The sequence below is a fragment of the Homo sapiens genome, chromosome 4 (genome assembly GCF_000001405.40).
Source record: "Homo sapiens chromosome 4, GRCh38.p14 Primary Assembly".
NCBI lineage: Eukaryota > Metazoa > Chordata > Mammalia > Primates > Hominidae > Homo > Homo sapiens.
The window spans coordinates 169,241,797-169,268,382 of NC_000004.12; the positions used below are offsets into that span (position 1 = coordinate 169,241,797).

Sequence of the window (26,586 nt, forward strand, 5' to 3'; positions counted from 1 at the left end):
GTTTCCTCCTGTGAGGCCCTCAGATGCTCGGTAAAGTCAACCTTGAGATTTCCCTCTTCTCTGGCCCTTATGGCTGGAGGCCCTAAGTCTGTTACCAGACTTGCTCGTAGTTAAACAGCAGAAAGCACAGCATTAAACACTAGATTTAAAATGTGAAATAAAATTTCAAGTCACTTGAGAGTTTTATTCAGATTTTAAACAAAATCTGAAAAGATTATATATATGAACAATGAAGATTATATGTCAAAGAATACTATAAATAGGATCCTTTGGTGGGAAAGGAGGGATCTATAAATTCTTAATCAAATATTTTTCTATTTCAATTTAAATTTTTTTTTTTGTAGAGGAGTGAAAATTATAATGCTAAATGATTCTTTCATTCTTCCCCAAAGGAGAAATACTCTGCCTAAACCCATTCCAATCATTGATCTGATGTATAATTTAATCACAAATATAAAACTGCTTTCACTTGAAAACTTTTCTCCCCACAAAAATACCACTTATGCAGCGACCCATGTTCTAACATCTTTGTAATTTTTCCTATCAAGCAATGTTTTTAAAATGAAATATCGCTTCTAAAATTATCCCCAGTGGAAAAAGAGATTTGAAATATTAAATTCATATGTCCTAATAGCTAAGATTTGCACTTACATTTTGGATGTATTTTTCTTCAAACATTAGTGTGCATAAAAATCTCCTGGGAAACTTGTTTGAAATGAAAATTTCTGGGTCCCAGCTCCAGGAAATCAAATTCTGTGGATCTGAGGTGGGGCCCAGATACTATCATTTGAATGTGTCACCCAAAATTCATGTATTGGAAACTTAATCTCCAATGCAACAGTGATGGGAGATGGGCCCAATGGGAGATGTTTAGGTCATGGGGGCTCTGCCCTCATAAATGGACTGTCCTTTATGAAGGGAGTGGGTTTGTTATAAAAGCGCGTTTGGCCCCCATTGCCATCCATCTCCTGCCTGCTCTCTTGCTATATGATGCCTTCTGCCATGTGATGATGCAGCAAGGAAGCCCTTGCCAGATCTGGCCCCTCAATCTTGGACTTCCCAGCCTCCAGAACCATGAGCCAAATACATTTCTATCATTATAAATCACCCAGCCTGTTATAGCAGCACAAATGGACCAAGACACCAGGTATGTGCATTTTTAACAGGCATCTAGGTGTTTCTAATGCAGGTGGTCCTTGGACCAGACTTTGAGAAACAGCATTGCATGAAAAAGAACTCATTTCCAAGACAGCTGTCCAGTCTTCAAACCCCTTCTCCCAAATCCATACTACTTTTATTTCATTAGACAGTTTTTAAACAATCTCTCATTAGCCTAGAATAAAGAAAACCTTTGAAATGTTATTCTCATTACAACTACACAATAAAAATACCAAAAGGCAAGGCATATAAGAATAAGGGAAAACTGAAAAGCTCACTTGCTCTAAGGTATAATTTAAAATTAGAACTGAACTTTGGGAGGTCGAAGCAGGCGGACCACCTGAGGTCAGGAGTTCGAGACCAGCCTGGCCAACATGGAGAAACCTCGTCTCTACTAAAAATACAAAAATTAGCTAGGCATTACAGCGCATGCCTGTAATCCCAGCTACTCAGGATGCTGAGGCAGAAGAATTGCTTGAACCCAGCAGGCAGAGGTTGCAGTGAGCCAAGATCGTGCCACTGCACTCCAGCCTAGGCGACAGAACAAGATTCCTTCTCAATAAATAAATAGATAAATAAATAATAAATAATAAAATTAGAACTGGATAGAATCTTGATTATGCTAGGCTAATTCCCTCAGTTTAATCTTCAAACAGTATTTTAAGCACTCCCCTATTAGTTTTGTTATCTATATTCTCCAGTTATTTCATTCATGCCACAAGGTGAGGTAATGCCTGAAATTTAAATCTGTCCTCAACAGATTCTTGCACTGGATATTCAAGAAGTCTTGCTTTCATTTACTGTTTCCCTATTTGAACTTTTTAGAATCAGAATTATTTATTTCTTCTATTTCATGATTTTCCAAAAGATGACTTAGAATGTCTAGAAATTCCCTCCTGACTACAAATGTAATTTGTTGCACTGACTACAGTAAACTTGTATTTTTAAGTTACAAATTCAGATACTTTTACTTAAATAACTGCAAACATGGCAAGCTACCCTGGAGTTGCCAAAGTCAATATGTGAAGTCTGTCTCTAGGGCAACAGACTAAAGAGTAGTAAATGAGGTTTTGAACTGCATTCCTGTTCATTTCTGATTTAGCAACAGGCTTCTACATGCTCCTATTATGCTCTGGCCATCCCTTTGTCTGATCTCAAAATTACATGGAGTGAGTTTTGGGTTGCTGTTCTAATATGTTTTAAGACATTTATTTCAATCTGTCTTGCTGTTCTCATACATGTTATTTCTAATTTTCACTACCCAGCAAATCATATTTGGCTGCCCTGCACAAACACACAAATGTGCATGCACCCACCACCATTTTTAAATTTTTCCATGTGAATTGAGGACTGTAAGTATTCAGCAGCTTAATTAAAAATCTGCAAACCCCTCCACACAATGGACCAGTGCTGATTCAGTAAGTACTTCCTGCTGCTTTTGTAAAAGCTCTTCCCAGTATTTTTTTTTTAAGCCACTGCACAGATGATCTCTTTCTACCCAATTCTAGAGTTTCACAATACTTCTTTTTTGTGGACTCAAGAACACACTACACCGTCAATGGCAGAATGTCAATCAATCTAAATTCTCCTACAACGTAAGTTAATAATTTAAATTCATCTAACTATAACCAGCACTGCTTGGCAGAGAAAGACACACAAGATCCAACATCCTGACTAACCAAAATGTAGGTAGAAAGAGTTAACCTAAACTGATATGTAAAGGACATTTTACAAAGTAACACATGACAGAATTTTTTTAAATTGCGCATGTGTTACCAAAACACAATGACAACGCCACAGTGCTGCACTTTTCTAAACTTTATTAGTGTTTTTTGCCGTTGTTATAACCTGTTGATTAATCTTTAGATTGTACTATTATTTAACATTGTATTAATTTAAAAGTGGTATATAAGACTGTGTGAAAAAAGGTAAAAGTTAACAAACCAAAAATACAAGTCCAGTTTTTAGAAAAGGTTTTGCAAAATAAAAGTTGCTTATTTATACAGATCACCTGACATACAGAAGTAAATATACTACAGTACATATACTCGTATTCTGTAAGCGGATATTCCATCTTAATGATAGTAGGACTGGCATCAAACATCTGCTAAAATAATATATCTATCATGCTACATTATAAACCAAAATCCTAAATTGGTCTAGATTTTGAAAGAAGTTGTTTATATTTACCACAATAAGAAGAGTAACTTGTTTCAAAGAACAAAGTAACAATCAACTTATTAAATACAACTTTAACGCTACCAACTACTAACTGTGAAGTCAGAACTGGATGGATGTTGAGTAACCTCAAAGAAGAAAATAAAATGGAACTTCCTCTTCTGAGCAAACCTACTTAGATTTAAGCCTATATCTATGGAGAAAACGTGAAATTTTGAGTAATGATTGTGTATACTCAAGTCACAACAAAAGCCATGTTGACCAATAGTCTACATATTTAAATGTCCATGTTTCAATTATCCATCTAAATTTATCTATATAGTCCACTAAAATCTACTATATTTTGATAGCACACAGATGACATAAGCTTATGTCCTTATACCAGGGGTAGCAAAAACAGTCCAGAAAACAAAGCTCCAATTGGTCTAACATCATCAACTAACTGTCCTCAAGATCCCATTCTTGCCTACTTGGAGAAAACCGGATAATCCACCTATAAATATAGCAATGATAGTAAACCTCAGTTTCTGCTACAAATAATATGGCCAGAAATACAGCAAGTTCAGCTGATAGAAAAATCCGTATGGCGGTGGTAGGTCAGTAATAAAGACTGTAACCTTGTAACTGCAGGATATTCTATAAAGTGAAATGTAATTTGTAAGTAATTTTTAATGTTACCAGAAACCAAAGGAAGGGCAACAGGGGAGTATCCGTACAAGACCACCTTCAATAGATTCTTCCAATAAAACCAAATGTACTGAAAAGTGGTCACATTAGTTTTTAATCAAAGGCAGGCAAGACAATCATAAACATCTATGCTCATTCACCTGTTCAAATATCAATTGCTTAAGTCAAACAGGAAAACACAGTCTGCCAGGGGTGTCATATCCACTTTAAGTCAGAGCAATTGAAGATGTGATGGGTATAAAACTACTACAGAAGCCCAGATGATACTTTCACTGGCCCCTCTGAACCATGTGTCTGAAGTTGGCAAAGTCATTCATGCAAATTGTATATTACTATGCAAGGTGTTACTTCGTCAAGTTTTACTTTGAAATCAAATTATTTCAGAATATTTGAAATAAGACTCAGCTACAGTTTATTCCAAATTGAAGCATGAGACACGTATTTCATAAAGAGAGCTCAGATTTCCAAAAATAAGATTACCCAAAAAAGGGGGAGTTAACTAGAGAACACAAATTTTCCCCAGCATATTTTAATATTTCCACCTCGGTGTGCTATATAGATATTATCACTGAAGTATCAAACTGAGCTAGGAGTATGTGCAACCCCGCTCATCTGTATTCTGTCACTTTGTTCTGCTCCACAGACACTGAAGAGGTCATGCTTAATGGCCAAAAAATTCACTACGTGCCTAAAGGAGAAAGTAGAAAAAGATAGGCAGGCCTGAGGGTGTGACTGTCTATTTAAGCATGCAACTGTATTTTAAACATAATTAGACTAATTGCCTCCCAATCTTAGCTGATGCATCTGCACATGCAATTAATTAGAACTGATTTTAAAAGACCTGTTTGGAATCCTTTGTTCCCCACTTCCTACAAATCAAATTACCAAGGAGCAAATTTAATTTTTCAACTTTTATTTTAAGAAAGACACAAACTTACATTAACTGGGTCTGATCCACTAATGTAAGTCATTTAACTAGCAATTATTTCATTCTGAAACTAAAATCCCATTCAAATTTTTTCATCTATAAAATAATTCCCTGGTAAATATGACAATCTTGCAAGACTGCTGTAGAAAGAAAAACTTGAATAATCTCATAGCTCTTCATCTAAAAGAGGAAGGGGGAAGCAATAAAGTTCCATTCTGCAGGAAAATTAGAAATGTACACTATTAAAGCTACCTTTTACCATGTGCTTTACTCTCCACTGATTGTTCTACCATAAATCAAAAGCAGTTAAGGCATTAAAAGAGGACTTCAAGGGGCTATTTAGCAGAGTAAGACATGATGTGCTCACTGGGAAAAGCATAATGACTGAGGACAAAGGTTCAGACACTGAAACTGGAGATGGGGCCAGAAGAGGACAGTGGAGAGGGTCAAGAAGAGGCAAACCAAAAGGGAAGAGGTGGGGAAAAGAGCAAAAGTGAGCTTGATAGGTTTAGACAGAGATTGCAGTGGTAAACAGGAGAGGCAGACACACTCGCTGAGGGATCTTCCCCCAAATAAATATTTACTGAGAGAGTGAATGGTGGACGGCATCCACAGCAACATTAGAGCTATGAACCTGGTCCAGGGGAGAGTGATGAACATGTGATAAGTGAAGGAAGCCACAGAGCTGCAGGCAGGCCTGGTAACACGAGGCACGTATGAAGGTGTGAGCTAGAGCCTGGAGAAGATGCAGACTCCAGACTACCATGATCTGTGTCTGAGAGTCTGGAATCTAGATAGGTGAACAAAGTAGCATCGCTTGATAAATGGTAATAACACATATAGGGTGGGGGATAGGAGTACAACTATATGGGCCAGAGAGAATAGGATTACTGTTCTGAAGACAATAAAGGGGTTGTGGATCTTGCGATCTGAGTCTGAGGAGGCATCATGACATTCCTGCACACGACAGAAACTGTGGAGCTAACAATGGGAATAGAAATAGGAAAAGGGCTAATATCCAGAATCTACAAGGAACTTAAACAAATTTACAAGAAAAAAACGACCCCATCAAAAAGTGGATGAAGGACATGAACAGACACTGCTCAAAAGAAGACATTTATGCAGCCAACAAACATGAAAAAAAGCACATCATCACTGATCATTAGAGAAATGCAAATCAAAGCCACAATGAGATACGCCACTCCAGTTAGAATGGCGATCATTAAAAAGTCTGGAAACCACAGATGCTGGCGAGGATGTGGAGAAACAGAAATGCTTTTACACTGTTGGTGGGACTGTAAATTAGTTCCACCATTGTGGAAAACAGTGTGGCACTTCCTCAAGGATCTAGAGCCAGAAATACTATTTGATCCAGCAATCCCATTGGTGGATATATACCCAAAGGATTATAAATCATTCTACTATAAAGACACATGCACACGTATGTTTACTGCAGCACTATCTACAATAGCAAAGACTTGGAACCAACCCAAATGCCCATTAATGATAGACCGCATAAAGAAAATGTGGCACATATGCATCATGGAATACCATGCAGCCATAAAAAAGAATGAGTTCATGTCCTTTGCAGGGACATGGATGAAGCTGAAACCATCATTCTCAGCAAACTAACACAGGAACAGAAAACCAAACACTGCATGTTCTCACTCATAAGTGGGAGTCGAATAATGAAAACACATGGATACAGGGAGGGGAACATCACACACCAGGGCCTGTTGTGGGGTGGGAGGCAAGGAAAGGGAGAACATTAGGACAAATACCTAATGCACGCCAGGCTTAAAATCTAGATGATGGGTTGATGGGTGTAGCAAACCACCATGGCACATGTATATCTATGTAACAAACCTGCACATTCTGTACATGTATCCCAGAACTTCAAGTAAAATTTTAAAAAATTCAAAAAAAGTAATAGGAAAAGGGGAAACATCCACGTGAGCAGTCCAGTTTCCCAATCTGGAACTTGGAGCTGTTCACCTGGTGGGTGTTTGTGACTATTCAGACACAGACAACAAAGGCTACTCCAGATTGAAGTGCACTGCTTACTTTCAGTGACCTCATAGAACTACTCAACATTGTTTTTGGTGATTCCTGTGCTATGGTTTGAATGGCTCCGCTCCAAAACTCAGGTGTTGCCAATGTGATGGTATTAAGAAGTAGGGCCTTTAAGAGGCAATTAGGGACGGGCCCAGTGGCTCACGCCTATAATCCCAGCACTTTGGGAGGCCGAGGTGGGCAGATCACGAGGTCAGGAGATCGAGACCATTCTGGCTAACTCGGTGAAACCCCATCTCTACTAAAAATACAAAAAAATTAGCCAGGCATGGTGGTGGGCGCCTGTAGTCCCAGCTACTCAGGAGGCTCAGGCAGGAGAATGGCGTGAACCCGGGAGGCGGAGCTTGCAGTGAGCCGAGATCGTCCCACTGCACTCCAGCCTGGGCAACAGAGCGAGACTCCGTCTCAAAAAAAGAAAAAAGAAAAAAAAAGAGGCAATTAGGCCATGAGGGCTCCTCCCATGTGAATGTGATAAAGCCCCTTATAAAAGAGGCTTCACCCACCATTAGGCTAGCTTGCCCATAGAGGGCCATGTGAGGACACAGTGTTCCTCCCCTCCAGAGGAACCATCTTGGAGGCAGAGAGTTGCCCTCACCAGATAACTGAACCTACCAGCACCTTGATCTTGGACTTCCCAGTCTCTAGAACTGTGAGAAATAAATTTGGGGTATATTTGTTTTTACAAATTTCCCAGTCTCTAGTTACAGCAGCAGAAATGGACTAAGACACTCCACTGGAGATATAAGGGTATTCTCTAATTCTATGTGGAAAGCAGATTATGTACCAATGCATGTTAAAGCACACAATTATCTGCTGGTTAAAAAAACATACAAGGATCCAATCCCCCCGTTGGAGACACACAGAGCAACAGTAGGAAGGATACATTTCCAGCAAGCTGTGACTCTTTAAGTAAATACGTAGGAGGAAGCAAGTGCAGATTAAAGTACAGTAACTGTGAGGCATATGACTGCAGTCATGTTTATGAGTGACTTATAAAGAGAGATTTCAATGAGTTGTACATATAACCCATACAGCAATGATTATATTAGAAAAAGGAAATTCATCTCTGACATTAATCATCAGGCTCCAGACACTCAACAGAATCGGCCCACAATATGGTTGTATTATTTTGCAAAGGAAAAAAAAACGATTATCTGAAGTCTGATTTGAATCCACACTATATCAAATGAGGAAATATGCTCAAGTCACGACACAGCCAAGATTAATAGGTGTTTCCACCCACTCCTTAAACAGTTTTAGGTACAAAAAACAATGTCACTTCTCTTCCTAAGAATATGTTAAGCATAGAAATTTGCAGAAATGCATAAAAAAGCATTCCTTTCCATGCTCTCATTTTCTGGTGTTCTGGGTAGCTTTAAAAGTATGAACACTGAAGTACACCAATGCTGTCAGTTATAAAGGATTTGTATTCATTTCTGGGAGCTAAAAACAGAGATGCTGCTATGGTTTGGAATCATACTGCTCATCTCTTGGGTTTAAAAAAAAAAAAGCTTGCGGCAAGATTATTTTTTAAATCATTCCACATTTATCTTCATAAAACAATACAAAGTGAATTGCCAAATAAGCATATATGACACTTTAATTTACTCATCTATTAAAACTGTTTCAATTTAAACATCTGAATGAATAACAGTCATTCTCCTATTTGCAATATTTTTCAACATGAGGTGTGCTCAGTAACATCAACATACATCAAGTATAACCATTCACTGATTTATTTGTTAACAAATTCTTATTGAGAACCTACTATGTACTAGGCAGTGTTCTACCTGCTGGGGATACAGACAGGAATAAATTTAATCAAAGTCCTGGTTCTCATGGAGCCTACTGCCTATTGTGGGGTAGTGGGGATGGGGGTAGGAGGGATTAAACAAATAAATGTATAATGTGATTTTAGACAGACATAAGTGCCATGAAGAAAAACAAAGCAGTGCAAGGCTAGAAGATTGGCAGTAGAGTGAGGGGTGGGGCTTTTTTGGATATGGTGGTCACAGAAGACCCTTATAAGGAAGAGACATTTGAAAAGAGACCAAACTGAAGGAAAGGAGCAAGCCATGTTGAGACCTGGGTAAAAGCTGACCTTCCTTCCAGGCAGGGCAAAGACTAAGTGCAAAGGCCCTAGGCTTTGGTGGTTTGATAAACAGCAAGAAAGTCTGTATGGCTGGAGCAGAATACTTAAGCTGAGGAGATAAGGTGGAGGAAAAGGGCAGGACTCAGTTATGCGACTGAAGTCTAATGGACCATTATATAACATAGTTTTGAGCAAGAGTGACATGTCACACTAACTGAGGTTCAAGGGAGCTACTCTGGGAGACACAAGTGGACAGAAGGTTAGTTAGGAGACTATGTCAATACATAGAGCTTAACCTGATATCCTCAAAATGCTTTCACCCTTTAGGTTTTACAGGGAGGGTGGAAGGTAGGAAACTACTTTTTAAATTTCATTATATCTAAACAAATACACGTAAAGTCATGTATACACGCTGTAACACACATTCCTCTCAGTGACTTTGTTAGTCAGAATAACTGAAGAGTATTGTTTCAGATAATCTCAGTCAAGCAGCCTTAAAATCGTGCACAAAACAAGATGACCATCCTCATCCCTTTTATTATAACTAAATGAAAGTCATGTAAGACTGAATAGTTCTTTTGTCCTTAAACAGGCTATCCGAAAAACAGAAGCATACTGTCTTTCATTGTCAATTCATGGTTCACAAAGCCTCTGAGGTTGGCTTTCGTCCTTCAAAAGCTTTTAATGGACAGGTACATTTAAGCCTTATTTTAAGGATTGTGAGAAATGGAATGCACTGGGAGCGGTCCCCATCTCCCTTTTATGAAAGGAGGAAGATATCAGCAATGCAGAGTGACCTCACCTATAAGGAATGCATCAGTGACATGGAACAAAGGTGGCTTCCTTCGTAAGGAAACCCAATCTGTTTCAGAAAACTGCTTCATTACTTTTGACTGATTTAGGGCTGCGCAGCCTACTAGAAACAATTCCATTCTTTAACCTCTATTTTATTAACAAAACTGTGATATCATTCTTCCTTCAAACATTAAAGAAAAGCCTTGCATATTCATCAATCAAAACTATATTTTATTCAGATCACCTTTGATCATACATGTGTTTGTGCCAACTAAGTGTATTTTTCAGTTGAAGCCTATAAAAGATAGGTGGTGTGCCTACAAGAGCGAGGACTCTGGTATGTTCCGCAGCGACTCAAGAACCACGTGAGATGTGCTAGGTAAAGGCAATTCACTCTTGTTTCAGGTTGCACTTAAGAGGGCCTGCGTTTTCACATTTTATAGCATGTTGAGTTTTCCAGCTTATGAATTCTATCACAGCTTACTTTTTCAAACAGTGATATCAATGCAAAACAAGTTCTTTGAGAACAGAATGAATTCATTCATGGCTAACCCAGATGCAACAAACAGGACACAGAGTTGCTAAAATATTACTTCTCTCTTTCAAGATTATAAAATATCTTGTCACATATTTTTCCCCAAGGTAATGTGTCAAAAATTTACTTTCTGGAGTCAGATATACAATATTCCATAGGATCAGCTTTTAAAATGTTTTCATGACCATTGAAAAGGGCTATGAAAATTGCTACTATTCTCATTCTAAAGCTACTGATAGATAAGATAGTTGTAATCTAATTACTCCCTACCATCTGGCACCTGGGTGCCAATAATTAGCAACTCTGCCTGATTGCCAGATAATAGTCAACTGACCAGGAAAGTTGGTTTTAAGTATCAAACTGTGAATCAATTTTTGCCTCAATCTATCTTTAACCAACCTATTCTATTTTTTTGGCTTAATATCCCAGTATGTCTAGTAATGCTGCCAAGAAACGATGACCTTCAGTTCAGGGACAGAGAATAAATACGTGCTGATGGACTGACGTATTCATAAGCAAAACACAGGCTCTTTTTTCATACATTCTAAATTTCAACATATATCACTGAACATAAGGCATGTTAAATAAATCCTAAACTGGCAACAACCCACAGTAACAGGCAGGATGGGTGGATTATAGCAAAGGGGAAGTTAAACAAAAATATGACTCTAGCTAGTTGTTAATGATAAACACCCTCTGCCCAAATACTGACCTGATACCATGAAACTGGATGGAGAAAAAAGCCCTAGGGGTGGGAGGTGGGGGTGACTGAGAAATTTACATATCAGGTTAATGTGAAAAATAAACTTGCCTCTCAAGGAAAAGTTTGGATCGCAAAGAAGAAACTTAAATAAACCTAGTAACACATGAGAATTTACATAATAAATATTCACATAGAATTCCCACTTCTTACACACAAAGCTCTTCATTCATAGCATACCTAGAAACCACAGCGTGGCACATTTCTAAAGTTACCAAACCTTCCTAGCATGTTGCTTCTCAAAATCTGCCATTCTTCTTAATCCATAAGGAAATGTTAGGTAGACCTAGTGTTACTTATTTGTAAGTATCAGATAGCTTAGTCTCCTGAGAGAAGTAATAACTCAAGGTATTTCCATGTATATAGTTAAATTGTTGATACATTAACAATCACAGAGAATCCAGCCTTGCAGCTTTCTGAGCTAGAGAGCCCATGGGCTTTTGTCATGTTTCATATCACAGCTGGCTGGCTTATGATTTGAGACTTGGAAAGGATCCCTTGGGACTAATTTATTCTAACTGCCCTTTTCTTCCCTCTTTCCGCTCCATTCTCAATAATTTTAATTTAATTTTGAATGTGCATGTTGCCTCTCATAGGATTCAAAATGTAGAGGTGCTATTGCTAACCACATTACCTGTGCTTCCTACCATCCACAGGATTACCCACCTCTGGAATTACTTAGTATACAGATGATCTGCATCAAAAGAAGCCATTATACATGTAACATTTTGCATTCTAAAAGATTTGCAAGCAGAGAAATTATAAGGTGTTTGGTAAAGATCAACATGACAGTTGGACAGCCAATTCCTATTAGATCAATTTCATTTTCCTCTATGTCAGAATGATGTGCCTGGGGGATAGGAGATAACATATCACATATTTTAACTTTTATAAGGCTTTTGACTCAACTCAGCAGAACATTCTTTCTAATAAACTAGGAAAACATGATTTCTAGACCACCATGGTGGGTGCAACCAAAATGTTTCAAGGGCCATTCTCAAGAGAATTGTTATTCAATATCCAATTACAGTCAAGTTTCATAAGGGTTTACCTAGCCTTTGAGTACTACTGTCATTGCTGACTTAAATAGTGGGAAGATGAATGTGAATAAGCTTACCAAAATATACATGTGGTTAGACACTCCAACTTACAAGGATGTGAATGTGTTCCGATGGACCTTGGAATTCTGGAATGTGAGTAGTCATCTATCAGTTCCATCAAGAAGTATTTACTGAACTGACCACCTACTACTTTTTCCACAGTCATGAGCAGAAAAGAGGTATAAAATTCAAAAGAGCTCCTGATCTCAAGTTCCTTATAACTTGGTACAGGAGACAACACTAAAGCACAATTAATTAGAGAACAATACCAAATGGGGCCAGAGAATATTCAAAATAAATGTAATAAACAAGGTATATATGTGTTTAAGATCAGGTATCCATATGATCACAAATATGTATTAAAGCAATTGCATTTTGGATTGGCATTTTTCAATTCCTGTTGATAGTGGCCAATTGCTGACACTATCGTAAAGATTACAGAAACAAGTTTAATCCGGAGGGTAGTAAAAACTAACCACTCGAGAGATGGGGGAAACTGAATTTATCTAAGGAAAAGAGAAAATCTGAGATCTAGGCAAAGCATGAACCAGCAACGTAGTGAGTTATTTTTAAAGGTACATAACATGAGGATGTAAAAACAAGGAGCAGGAGGGTCCCATGACAGCCCTTCCACAACTTGAAGCCCCATTCAGAACTTTATCACCACACTAAGAGCTCTTCTGGACCTGAACCCAAGCACAGCAAGCAGGGGTTGGATAGCGTCCAAAGGAGAGTGACTAAAATGATTAAAATGTTAGGAAATGGGTCCTATGAGGACATGTAAACGAAACTCAGTTATTCAGTCCAGATAAAAAGAGAGGAGGTCAGGGCTGCACCACAGCCTGCAAGGTCAGGAAGAAGAGGTACAGGGGAGCACCTCTTTTCCATTAAGGATGGGATGAAAGGAATGAGAGTACATTGCAAGGACAGGAATTTATGTTTAACAGAAAAAAGAACCTCCTCTGGCTAGGAAGATGGTAAGGCACTGGAATAAGTTTGTATCAACAAGCTTTTGAAATGTCCTTTAGAAGAGACTTTCTAAAAACCCAGTAGATGACCATTTTCAAAAAATGTTCACCCAGTGTCGTTTCTTACCCAAAACAGTACATGAATATTTTAGCTACAAAATCAGTACGTGAATATTTTAACTATAAATAGAAACTCCATTAAAAAATATATAAATTTATTGAAATTTGAAGCATAGCAAGGCTCTTCACTGTTGCAGCATTTGCAAAATGCATCAGTAAAGTACATAAATGCATTTGTTTATATCTGTTTATATATGTCACAATTTTTTTAAAAGGGAAATCAGCTGCTCTAGATATGAGCTATTAAAAAATAACCAAAACATGGAAAAACTGACCAGTAATAACTACTTAAGCCACATAATCTTAATGGTATGGAAGTGAGGGGAAGGGTGGGCAAGGTTGGGGAAGGGTAAGCAAAAATCAGTCACAAAGGAATAAAACACTACACACATGTGCATATGCATGGATACATACACACATACATACACACATACACACACACACACACACACACACACACACACACACACACAGAGTCCAGATAGATCAACTGACCCACCCATCCATCCATCTATCCAACAGTGCATTAAAACATCCATGTTTTAACAATGGGCATAATAATCTTTCCTAACATTACTTTTTTTTTTTCTTTTTGAGTCAAGAGTCTCGTTCTGTTGCCCAGGCTAGAGTGCAGTGGCGTGATCATGGCTCACTGCAGCCTCGACCTCCTGGATTCAAGCGTTCCTCCCCCCTCAGCTTCTGAAGTTGCTGAGAGAGCAGGCACGAGCCACCATGCCAAGCTAATTTTTTTGTTTTTGGTAAAGATGAGGTTTTGCTATGTTGCCCAGGCTGGTCTCAAATTCCTGGGCTCAAGCAATCCTTCCGCCTGAGCCATCCAAAGTTCTGAGACTATAGGCGTGAGCCACCATGCCTGGGCTCCTTAAATTTTAAAAATTAGGACTGCACTACAAAGCACATCTAGTTTCCCTTACGGAAAGTCTTAGGAGTCTAAGTCTTTAGTAATATGCTAAAGAAATAACTAAATTGAATTTTTTTAAAATTACTTGAGCTATTATTTTCCCCAATCACAGGGAAGGAGGCAGAGAAGGAAGAAAGGGAGGGAGGCAGGGAGGGAGAGAGAAAGGGAGAAGGGAGGAAGAAAGGGAGGAAGGGAAGGAGGAAGGAAGGGAGGGAGAAATAGAGGGAGGGAGGGAGTATAGATAATGTTGCTCTCCATTTCCTTTTACAGATGAGGCCCAGAGAAGCTGACTGACTCAACCAGTGTCACACTATAGTCGTAAAACCAGAACTATCTTATGTAGTCACTAATTTATGAACAGCTTGGGTATCTGAAGTTTAAGCCAGCTGTTTAAAACAGAACGAAATGTTCTATGGTATTAACATATAAGTGTTAATTAATTAAATTACCAGACTACATACACACCAATAGTCTGTTTTGTTTGTTTCTTTCCTTCTTTCTTTTAGAGACAAGGTCTCATTCTGTCACCCAGGCTGGAGTGCAGTGACAAGATCACAGCTCACTGCAGCCTCAAACTCCTGGGCTCAAGCGATCCTCCAGCCTCAGCCTCCTGAGGAGCTCGGACTACAGGTGCATGCCACCATGCCCAGCTAATTTAAAAAAAAAATTTAGAAGGGGGATGGGGATCCGACTATGTTGCTCAGGCTGGTCTCAAACTCCTGGCCACAACTGATCCTCCCACCTTGGCCTCCCAAAGCACTGGGATTACAGATGTGAGCCAATCCACTTGCCCCAGAGTTTATTTTACAATATAACTGTGATATGGTATTAAAAGTTCTAATTTCTAGAAAGAGGGAAAACTGAAGATACTAATGTTTACTGAGCATGTACTAGGTCTTGGGCATTTGAGATTCCTTATCTCATGTAATCCTCACAAACTTGGAAAGCAGCTCTTCATCATTCTACAAATGAAGAAATTAGGTAAGGAAGTAACTTGCCCAAGAGCCACACAGATAACAAGGAACAGAGGAAGTTCTGCCTGATAATAAATCTCCTGCTTTTCCTATTACCAGACACTTTCTGTCCAGCAGGAATCACAGAGCACACAAAAAAGGAACATTCAGAGGAAGAAATTAATTCCTCTGCATTTCCCCTGAACACTTTTGAAAAGTTCTGTACTCTCTGGCATCTCCCCTATGCTTAATGAATCCTGTTTTCTATATCCTGTGCTCATTCACACTGCTCTCAGCTAGGGTAAACTTATGGCCCTGTTCGCCTCAGACAGTCCTGACTTACTCCTGTTGACTCTGCAAAATTATCAACAACATCCTTTTCACTCTCAAAAATGTCCCAGGGTAGAGGATAAACGACATGGTCGCTCTGTCTAAACCCCTCACTACAGCTTCCCCCATCCAGGCTTGCCTGACCTCAAAGCAGCTCAGTTACCTGCCTCCCCGCTCTTTCAGCATAATAAATGCCCTGTCCATCAAAGTAGGGGTTCTCACATCAGTAAAAACTGAGAAAAGAAATATGGTTAGGTAATTCTAAATATGGTTCTAAAGTGCAGGACATTTTAATATGCAGACAATCTCTAATTGTTGGAATTTCAAGCAGTGTAACAACTTTAGATGAAGATAATAATCTGGCAGAACAGAGGTGGATAATTCTAGCAGATGAGATCTAGCAAGCAAACCAGCCCTATTTAGAGCTTAATCCAAAGTCAGGCTCCCTAAACTGTCCTTGCTTTTCTGCTCTACCTCACTTCTAAATCTAACAGTTCATCTGAAGGCTCCTGTGGCAGGCACAGTGTGGGCTTCTAAGGGAACATTAAAGGCAGATTACTGGTGTCAATGGGCAAATGTGAGAGCCACATGTCACCTCAATGCACCAAGATCATATCCAGGTGCCAATCTGAGTTTGTCCTAAATGTTTGATATCAAAGTTGGCTTTTGCTACGGTAATTACTTTTTAAATTTCAGGGCTACAAAAGAACTCAGATATCAGAAAAGCCTCATTTTATAAAAGAGAAAACTATGTCCTACAGAAGAGAAAACACTGGCCTCAAATCACATAGCCAGGACTAGAAAGCAGGTCTCCTCATTCTTTCCACCATATAGGTGATTCTCAGCTTCCACACATCATATATTTTCATGCTTCATATATGGAGACCCAGTACTTTTCTGCTGCCAGATTTGAACTTTCTTGGAACAGCTGCTATGTAAACATTTCAAGCTGTCACACTTTGGGGCCTTTAACCAACACTTCAGCTTCAGCAACATCACAGGCTTTGTACAACAGTGTTAACACTTCCAGTGTCTTCTTAATATTTCAGACTTGTTTTACAAAAATGAGTAGAAAAAAGAAAAATAAAAGTGCTACTATAGTACAGTTAAGACAGGAATGAAAATAATACGATCTACCAAAGATGGCAAAAATATTTAGCCTCAGACTTCAACTGTGGCAGAAAAAAAGCATATGAAATGCTGAAAAATAATCATCACTGTGCATAAAACACAAGTTCAATAATGGGGAAAAAACTGTTCAAAGATTTTGAAAAAAACTGAAATAATAGAGATTAGTAAACTAAATGTCACTCTGGATAAGGTGGGCAAATGAAAACTTAAGGTCTGAAATCTAGTTTTATTATATAATGTTTATTCTATGTGTTTGTTTTTAAAAACTTTTAAAGTTTTTTAAGGATATTTAAAAACTAAGCAGTTATATAATTAGGAATGTAAGAATATTTTTTAGCTCTACAAGAATTGAATCTCCTTATAACATATCTAATGTTCAGCTTTTCAACATTACTGCTCACATTTCCAGGAACTTTATACAAATGCTAGGGATATTTGTATCCCACACTGACACTCTTACTTACATTGCTACGGTATTATTTTGGGGTACTTCACATAAATTAAAACTAGATATGAAGCATCCTATAGCTAACTTTAGCTTTCTTTCTGTATAAATGTTGATTGCCTAGGACCACTCATTACATATTAAAATAATGAAAATTCACTCCTGTTCATTCATTCCTGAATTGATAAGCAGTTTTTTCTGGCAAAAAATAATAATAATAATAATTTCCTTAATCCTTAAGGAATTTATTTCCTTAGGCTAACAGAAAAATGCTCAACATTGACAGCCCTTGCCTTTCTGCACTACGTAACTTAAAAATTCATTTGCACATCCTCCTACTGCTCACTTTTTTCATGTTTCACAACGCAAATAATCTACTATTTAACTGCTCTGTCAGCCATCTGAAATGGCACCTCCATTCCCTTCCCAGCTACCCCGAAAGAGCCCACTCACACATCTATCTTTAAAATGGCTGTGTTTACAGCCACCCATATGTCACCATTCATGAAGCAACTGCTACCATCCTCTTGACTAGGCATTGGCAGACATATACGCGACAAAAGGATTGCAGAGCCACGAAAAAGGGTGCCTGGGGCTCTGAATTTTTCTTTTTAAGGTTACTACCTTCAGAAAAAACTAAAAATCAAAATTTGTAAGAGAGCAGAAGATACATGTACTCTTTATAATAAAAGCTTTGGGAGGGTGAGGGAGTTGAAGTTTCTAAATGAGGGAGCCTTACCAGCAAGGCAGCCTCCAAGCATAATATTTCTATCATATGTACACCTCACTATACTATGTTGCTATGTAAATGAGGCTTGCCTGCTATCTGAGTTCCTCACTATCCATACTATGTCGCTATGTGTAGTATTTCTATCACAAGTACATCTCACTATAATATTTGTGCTAGGTTGCTACAGTATTGTGGATCCTTAGGAAGAATCCTGCCACAGCATGAATTACAAAGTCATTTGCCTTTTGACCTTAAAATTTTAAAGTCTTTTTACATATTGTCTTGGGTTTGCTTAAACTACATTAAGCAATATACTAGAGAGGGGATAGATTAATAAATGGAGTGAGCGTCTGACCAGAGTGGAAAAAAGCAGGCATTCTTCCCAATAGAGTGAGTTAAGGAATGGAGGTGTGCAAAGGAGAGCTGGGGGCTCGTGGAATGCTGAGAAAAGACCACAGGCAACAGCAAAATAGTCAGGGGCTTGAACTGACATACTGCCCCTACTCACATGCCTTTTTTGAGCCTCTGATTTTATTCTTTTGCTTTTCTGAGACCAGAGACTTAATTATGGGGCAAAACAAAAACAAAGCATTTTGAGAAGACAACCCAGAGAAGCAGTTTTAGGAAGGCAATGGAGAAGGACTGCTTTCCTGCTCCCCCTGTCTGTTCTACCGGCTCCCCACTGCGCCTCTTTTAGCCACTTGGAAAGAACAGACCACAGTTGCAGGCCAGGGCAGTGCAAGGTGCTGCAAGGCAGAGAAGTTAACACTCAACACAGGTTCTATAGCAGCTGATGCAAAAGCCAGGGATGAAGTGCTAAAGCCAGAGAGCCAGGGCAGAGGTGGAACTTTTCAAAGAAACTCAAGAACAAGACGGACCTCCAGCTAAAGCAAAACTAGATTTTATCTCTTTCCTCCCTTTCCCTCGGATTTTCCTTTTCCCTGCCCAGCCAGCAGTAACAGAATAATTTCTCTCCTTCAGTCACGCAAAAGAGAAATATAAATAAATAAATAAGGACTGGAGCAATAGTGATAATAAATGAAGGAAACTGGGACGGGTGGGGGATCAGGGTTGCCAAAGAGATCTGCATCAGGCTACTTTTCACACACAGGAAACCAACATAACTGAGTTCATGTCTGTATTTTATGTAGCTCTACAGCCAAACACTACATCCACTTTATAATCTTTTCGGTATCTTTTCAGTAACTTTGGTTCTCATCATCCCAAATAGAAATGAAATTAAATATACAGCTAAGGATCCCTAGAGAGGTTGGTACTCCACTCACTTATTCACTCATTTATTCAACAAACCTCTTGTGAGTGTGTACTCTGTGCCAGACACTACAAAGGGCTCTGAAAAGTCAAAGATGGACCAAACTCAGCCCCCTCACCAGCCCCATTCCCACAACCACTCTGCATGGAGCTTAGGTCCCTATGGCTCCGCATCTTTGAGCTGAAGAAATGAAGCCCAGAGAAACCCCACAGCCAGCCCATGGCAGTGTTGGAACCAGAGGCCACAACTTCTGACCTCCAAACCACACTCTTCCCCATACATCAAGCTAAGGAGAGTCTGCTTTCCTGGTCCACTGTCATTGTAAAGGAGCTTTATTTGTCCTCTTTTTGTCAAAACAAAATAGGAAGCAAGGACAGTGAGGAAAGAATAACCTCTGCCAGCTGCAACTGAGAAAAGATTCCCCTGCTAAAAGCAACATGAGGTCCCAGGGAAAATGTTTGTCACTTAAGTCAACTGCAGGTAAGGGAAGGAAGCATTTGGGATCAGAAATTGGACAAGTTATTTAAAGTCTTTCAGCCACCCCTCCTACATCCATGAAATAAGAATAATAATGTATAGTGAGCCGTAAACACTCCAACTGCACTCCAACCTGGGCAGAAGTGAGACCATCTCAAAAAAAAAAAAAAGAATGCATAATAGCTTCTTATAGATCAATGTGAGTAGATACGGAAGCTATCCAAGTTTTATCATTAAATTAAAAACCACAAGTTGCAGAACTGCATATACAATGTGATTCCATTTCTATTCAATTTTTTGTCTGAAAGAAAACACAAAAAAACCTTGTGACAGTGGTTACCCCTAGAGATTAGGAACAAAGGAGTAGAGATATTGGAAGCCTTGATTTTCTCCTTTACATCATCTTCTACTATTACATTTCTTACCATAAGCATGTATTATTTTTAATTCTTAAAACAAAGAAAAATACTATGAGTATTTTTCTTACACTGAGTATTTTTTAAACAGAAAGAAAAATGCTATGAGAAAAATACTATGAAGAAAAATTCTATGAGTAAAAATACTATGAGAAAAATACTATGAAAAATTAAATGAATGGTACACATAATTAGTACACTTTTCTATGTGTATATTATACATCAATAAAGAGTTTTTTCAAAAACTGGAGTAGGTCTATGTGCTTAAACATGAAGAGATTTCATAGATATAGTAAATGAATTAGCAAATCATTGAATCTCCAGAGCATGAAATTCTAGTTCTGCAAAAAATCAAGAAACTATATGCATACACATATAAATGTATATGAAAAGATCTGCAAGTATATACACACTTAATAACATATTCTTCTATATGGTTGAATTTTTTTTTACAACCAGAATGCTTTTACATACATTTTGAAATCTACATTCTTTCTCATTTTAAAAATGATAACACTTAGGCTGGGTGCCGCAGCTCACGCCTGTAATCCCAGCACTTTGGGAGGCTAAGGTGGGTGGATCACTTGAGGTCAGGAGTTGGAGACCAGCCTGGCCAACATGGTGAAAACCCACCTCTACTAAAAGTACAAAAATTAGCCAGGCATGGCGGTAGGCGCCTGTAATCCCAGCTACTTGGGAGGCTGAGGTGGGAGAATCGCTTGAACCCAGGAGGCTGAGGTTGCAGTGAGCTGAGATCTCACCATCGCCCTCCAGCCTGGGTGACAGAGTGAGACTCTGTCTCAAAAAAATAAATAAATAAAATGATAACACTTGACCCCAGAAAGCTGTTGTGAGGTTTACATGATTATGGTTACATGACACTTTATGTGATATAAAAAAGAATCATTACTTTTTTAAAAAAATTATCAATTAGTATGCACCACAGACCCCCTTTCCCATACCTTCCTTCTACCCTGTTCAAGATCTCATCTCCGAGTCTCACCATCAAGCCTAGCTCAGGAATGAAGTAAAGGTCAGGGATGGGGCAGACATGAAGCCTGGAGTAAGGATCAAGGATGGATAAAATAAGAGGTCAAGCATGCAACAAACATGGTTTAGCCAAAACAAACAAACAAACAAAACCCACCTTTTCCGTTTTAATTCAATCATTCTGAAACACACAGAAACATTTCCCTCATCCAAACCACCACATTAAATGTCTTGCTTGGGTCCGGTATGAGTTAATACACATCCCCATCCCCATCTGTGCGAAGACAACAACTCCTTTGTCCGTCAGTGTTTGTAGTGAACCTTACACGCCAGGGGAGCATGTCCCAACCACTCTGGTCCACACTTGGTATTCTTTGACCATGCACTTAATCCAAGGACCACGAACTACAAAAAAGAACCCCATCATAGATAGAGACTTATTCTATATCTTATCCCACCCCCTGATGCTTCACTATCTGCTGCCTTACTTGTTGTTTCTTGTGTGTTACCTCCCCCAAATGTAAACTTTTTCAACAGAAACATGCATTAATGTCATCTTTGACCTAGTATAGATTATTGAACATAACTGGACCTGAAAGCTCTCTACAGGTGCTTGTTCATAGATGGATGTCAAAGATGTCCCACGGCACAGTTCACAGCTGGCAGTTGCTTTCCACACCAAACCTGGAGCAACTCAGTTGTCCTAACTTTCTCCCACTACTTCCTTCAATTCTTTCTGCCAATGCCATTCCTTGGAATAAAGCCTAGAATGCCTTACTAGGGTGCTACTTAGCCCTGGAAAGCACCAAGTAAGGATCTGTATCTGGTTTGTCCATCATTACCTATCCCTTGAGTAATGCCTTAGGTACTACTGAGTCCTGGAAAGCACTCTCTCCAGACTCCAGCTACAGATCAATCCAATTTGTCAGAGATAAGAAAGTAGTAGTTTTCCCCTCTCAATATTTCCTTCATTTCCTCCAGAACTTTCTGTGCATCTGGTATACTGTCACATAAACTTCAACTTCCTTATAACATGCCTGTCTATTTTAAGAAATTATGCCAGGCAATGTGGGTAGTTGAGGGAGTAGGGAGGGGCTGAACAACTTCTCAAAGGTATTCCATGACAGAACACAGAAGGCTGGACCACTGCCAGTTTCTGGGGAAACCAGGACTGAAGGGATTGGCAGTGGACCGAGAGGCCACTCAAGGGGCTGACCTTTAGGAGTATGTCTACAGTCAGAGTACAAGTTGGCTAGGGCTACTACATCCAAGGGCACAGACTGGGTGGCTTAAACAACAAAAATGTATTTCCTCACAGTTCTGGAGGCTGGAAGTCCAAGATCAAGGTGTCAGTGGGGTTGGCTTCCTTTGAAGGCAACTCTCCTTGGTTGGTAAGTGGCATCTTCTCCATGTGTCTTCACATGGTCTTCCCTATGTGTCTGCATCCTCATCTCCTCTTCTTATAAGAACACTGGTCTTACTGGATTAGGGCCCATGCATGTGACCTCATTTTACCTTAACCCCCTCTTTAAAGGTCCTATCCCCAAATATGGCCACATTGTGAGGTACTAGGAGTTAGAACTTCAACGTAGCAATGTTGGGGGACATAATTCAGCCCCTAACAGTCAGCAACAGGGAAAGAGGGAGAAAGGAGGTATGACTGTGCTATGGAGAAATGAAAGCAGACACAGCATTTACAGGGGAAAATAAATTTCATGTGTGTTCCCTCATATCTAGAATTCCCTACCTTTCTTTCCCGATCTCTCCATTCTTTGACACAAGCTCCAATCCCGTATCTGTTCTGAAGCCCTGCTAATCGTCTCAGTCCCAATGGTCCCTCTTTCTTATCCCAAATGCAGAGCACTTCCTATCTATCCTACCCATCTGACCCTTCACCCTACGTGGCCCTTGGGGCAGTTCTTGATGCCTTCTACATTATCAAATTTGAGGCCTCATCTTACACCATCCCTGTGGCTTGCCTAGTTCACACTTACCTTCTGTCAGTTCTTCCTAGGAGGCACATCCCTTCCTGTTTAGGTCAGCCCCTTTGAAATATTCTTCGCCTCTGCCCCTTCCCTGCCCAGCCCCCATTCCCTAATTAATATCATTTCACCCTTAAGATCTCAGCTCAGATGCCTCTTCCTCAGGAAGCTTTTGAAGATCACACACACAATTCACCCTCACGCTAAATGCAGGTCTTTCTTCTATCCTCTCCCCTAGCTTTGTGTCTTAGAACTTACTTAATTACATGCCTGCATTGTTATTATTTTCTTAATGTGTCTCTCCCACAAGATGGACTATACATTCAAAACCTAATGTGTCTCTCCCACAAGATGGACTACACATTCAAAAGCTAAGAATGGTTTGTCTACCATTACCTATCCAGCAGCTAGTGTAGTGCCCGGCACCTAATGAGTGCTTAAGAAGTATTTATTAAATAAAGCAACGAATAAACTAAGTATAAATTAGTATAAATCAGGGGGTCTCATGTGATCTATTTTTTGGATGAATAAATTTGCTGTGAAGTAGAGGCATCATGAAATCATTAAGTAATAATATCTAAACAGAAACATGCACAGATATTAAGAGAACTTAATGTTAAGAGATATTAAGAGAACTTAAAAGAATTTTTTTTTGAGATGGAGTTTCGCTCTTTTTGGCCAGACTGGAGTGCAAGGGTGCGATCTCAGCTCACTGTAAACTCTGCCTCCCAGGTTCAAGCGATTCTCCAGCCTTGGCCTCCTGAGTAGCTGGGGTTATAGGCACGTGCCACCACACCCGGCTAATTTTGTATTTTTAGTAAAGACGGGGTTTCACCATGTTGACCATGGTGGTCTGGAACTCTTGACCTCAAGTGATCCACCCACCTCCTCGGCCTCCCAAACTGCTGGGATTATAGGCGTGAGCCACCACACCTGGCCAGCTTAAGAGAATATTAAAGAGAAGTTAATATCTATGCATATTTATGTTTACATATCATTACTTAATGATTCCTTAAATCATTGGAACTGCGCATAAAAAGCAGAAACTATTAGGTCTAAATTCTATAGGAACTACTTAAAAACCATGCTTTCCTTATCTAATTTATATATATGCATTTTAACTTCTGCAGCTACATTTCTTAGGCCATAGACAGGTATCAGCAGTGTCCCTCTCCCTATGGCTCATTCCACTGCTTGACTTTGGCCTAAAACCAACAGGAATTCTTTACTTAGAGGTAAAAAACTGATGGATTCCCATGGTGATTCCAATCCCACACTCTCCTTTTCTCCTTCAAATTAGGCAGGAAACACTAAAATTTTGGGAACAAGATGTGCGTCACACATTGGAAATGTTCAAATCTGTTGATAACATTCAATATACTTTGGCTAAACGCATGAGGAGGCCACATGGTCACAGCCTAACCAAACACAGAACATAACTAATAAACTGAAGCAACATTCCACGTTATCACTTTCAGCTTTGCACAACATATGGAAACAGGCTCACTGCACCACTTGGTTGTGTCAGAACACTTAAGGGAGGAGGATGCACATTTGGGATTTATTACAGTCACTCACCTAAGGGAAGCGTCCAAAGAAGTGCCTTACAATATCCATGTGGCTTCATGTTACAGAATTCTCACTCTTAAAAGGAGTCTTTTCTAGAAATGTATTGACCTTTCAGGTGTTTGAACTATATGTATGGCCCTGACTGTTCTGAATATTTGAAAGCAAAAGGTACTAGTAACTTACTGAGAAAGCTTTTTTTTAAAAAAGGGGGGTGGGGGGCAGGGGATGGGGGAGGGGTAGCAGGGGGAGGGGTCTTGCTATGTTGTCTAGGCTAGACTTGAACTCCTGGGCTCAAGTGATCCTCCGGCCCCAGCCTCTGGAGTAGCTAGGACTGAAGATGCAAGTAGCTAGGGGCTAGAGGCGAGTGCCACAGTACCTGGCTCGAAAAACTATTTTAAACTAGAAAAAAGGCTGTTCTTTTTCTAAGTATTGCATCAATTGCATCAACTCAGACTACTGAATAGGTTTGTTTTTGTCCTCCATCCTCCCCCAGCAAAGTAACAGACATATTTCCTGTTCCATCCACCTCAACTATTTTATCCCAGTTATAAGGCTCAAGTTTAGTTGAGTTTCTTGGCAAGTAATTTTTCTCATGCTAAAGAAGAAACATGAAGTAAATTAGGAAAAGCATATAAACCAGAAAAATAATACTAACATGATCAAAATCTCCAAATAATTTACCTATGAAGTTCAATTTTGGGAGCTTAGCAGTTCAGATAAATGAGAATTACATAGTCAATTTCCATGTTAGCAAGAAAACTTAAAATTCAAAAGACATTAAGTTGAGTGTTTGAGCCTCTCCTTAAATTCCTCTTTATCAGTGAACAAACATTCAATGCATTCCTCACAACAGGTAAGGCAGTGTCAACAACTAAGATACAGTATTCCAGGAAGCCATGCCTTCCCTAGTCTAATTAACAGGGAAACAAAACCTTTCCAAAGATGCAAATCTACACCTTTATTAAGCTAAACAGACCTACATCAGGTGTCTCAGAAATTATCAACTTGATCACTGGTTCTGGGATTAAAATATTCGAGTCCAAATAAGTAAACTCCATAAAATAAAGGAAATCTAAGAAAAGCACTGTAAGCAGATCAGTTTCACAACATGTGGGCTCCAAATAAGGAAAAGAAAACCTCCCTATCCCAGAGTTCTCACTATCTTTAAATAAATAAATATGTCAAAAGAAACCTGACAGCCTTAATGATGAAACTGTTTTCTGATCAGGTTTTCCAGTGATTAAAATGGTCTATATACTTAAATACTTCCTATCATTTACAAAAGATGAGCCTGAGAAAGTAGTAGGAAAACTATTCTGTTAAAACTGCCTGGTATCCACATCTGCGAATTATGGGAACTAATGCTATCCCAATGGGCAGTTCCTGTATTAAATGAAAGACATCACTTTTGAGTGCTTACTGAAGACATTTGAAAAAAATATTCTCATCTAGATTAATTGTTCTTTAAAAGCAGATTTTACCAGTTTGGCCAATAATTTAGAATTCCTTCTTCTTACAAAAATGAAGTTGTTTTAATTACTGATGCTCTTGACTACTTTTTATTTTTGCAAAAATGAGAAAGCACATTTTATCAGGAATCCATCACCTGCAACATAATTTATATTTATTAGAAATACCTATATTTCTAATAAATACAGATTATTTATATATATTTCTAATAAATACAGAAATTTTGTGTGACAGTTGTGGTAGCTGTCCAAATAATTAGCTTCATCTAAAATTATTTCAGCCCAAACTCAAATCCCAAGAAAAATCATTTCGATGGAAATACTTCATTTCATTCACTATAAAGCCCAACATAAAGCTAGATGTTTTAGTGTAGTCCTAAGTGACATTTTGTTGCTACAGCAACGAAACTCTGCTACCTGTAGCCATGATTTGTTAAGAATTCCACCAACGAGTAAATTCTGTGCTGTGTATTCATAAAACCAATAGAATGATTCTAAGCAACATAAA

At 38.9% G+C, this 26,586-nt stretch overlaps 1 protein-coding gene across 1 annotated transcript in view, besides 2 other annotated features; it reads right to left on the reverse strand.

The window, feature by feature from the left end:
* Positions 1–26,586, reverse strand: part of SH3RF1 (SH3 domain containing ring finger 1) — a 176,698-nt gene that overhangs the window by 147,538 nt on the left and 2,574 nt on the right. The gene's annotated exons all lie outside the window — the stretch shown is intronic.
* Positions 7,722–8,016: a silencer, noted in NCBI's record as "tiled region #2565; K562 Repressive non-DNase unmatched - State 24:Quies". NCBI's record gives its function as "represses a minimal TATA promoter and a strong SV40 promoter by Sharpr-MPRA in K562 cells {active_cell/tissue: K562}" and the evidence as "EXISTENCE:reporter gene assay evidence [ECO:0000049][PMID:27701403]".
* Positions 9,374–10,573: an enhancer, noted in NCBI's record as "P300/CBP strongly-dependent group 1 enhancer chr4:170172321-170173520 (GRCh37/hg19 assembly coordinates)". NCBI's record gives its function as "activates an origin of replication core promoter dependent on BRD2, BRD4, P300/CBP, MED14 and CDK7 cofactors, with strong dependence on P300/CBP, by STARR-seq in HCT116 cells {active_cell/tissue: HCT116}" and the evidence as "EXISTENCE:reporter gene assay evidence [ECO:0000049][PMID:35650434]".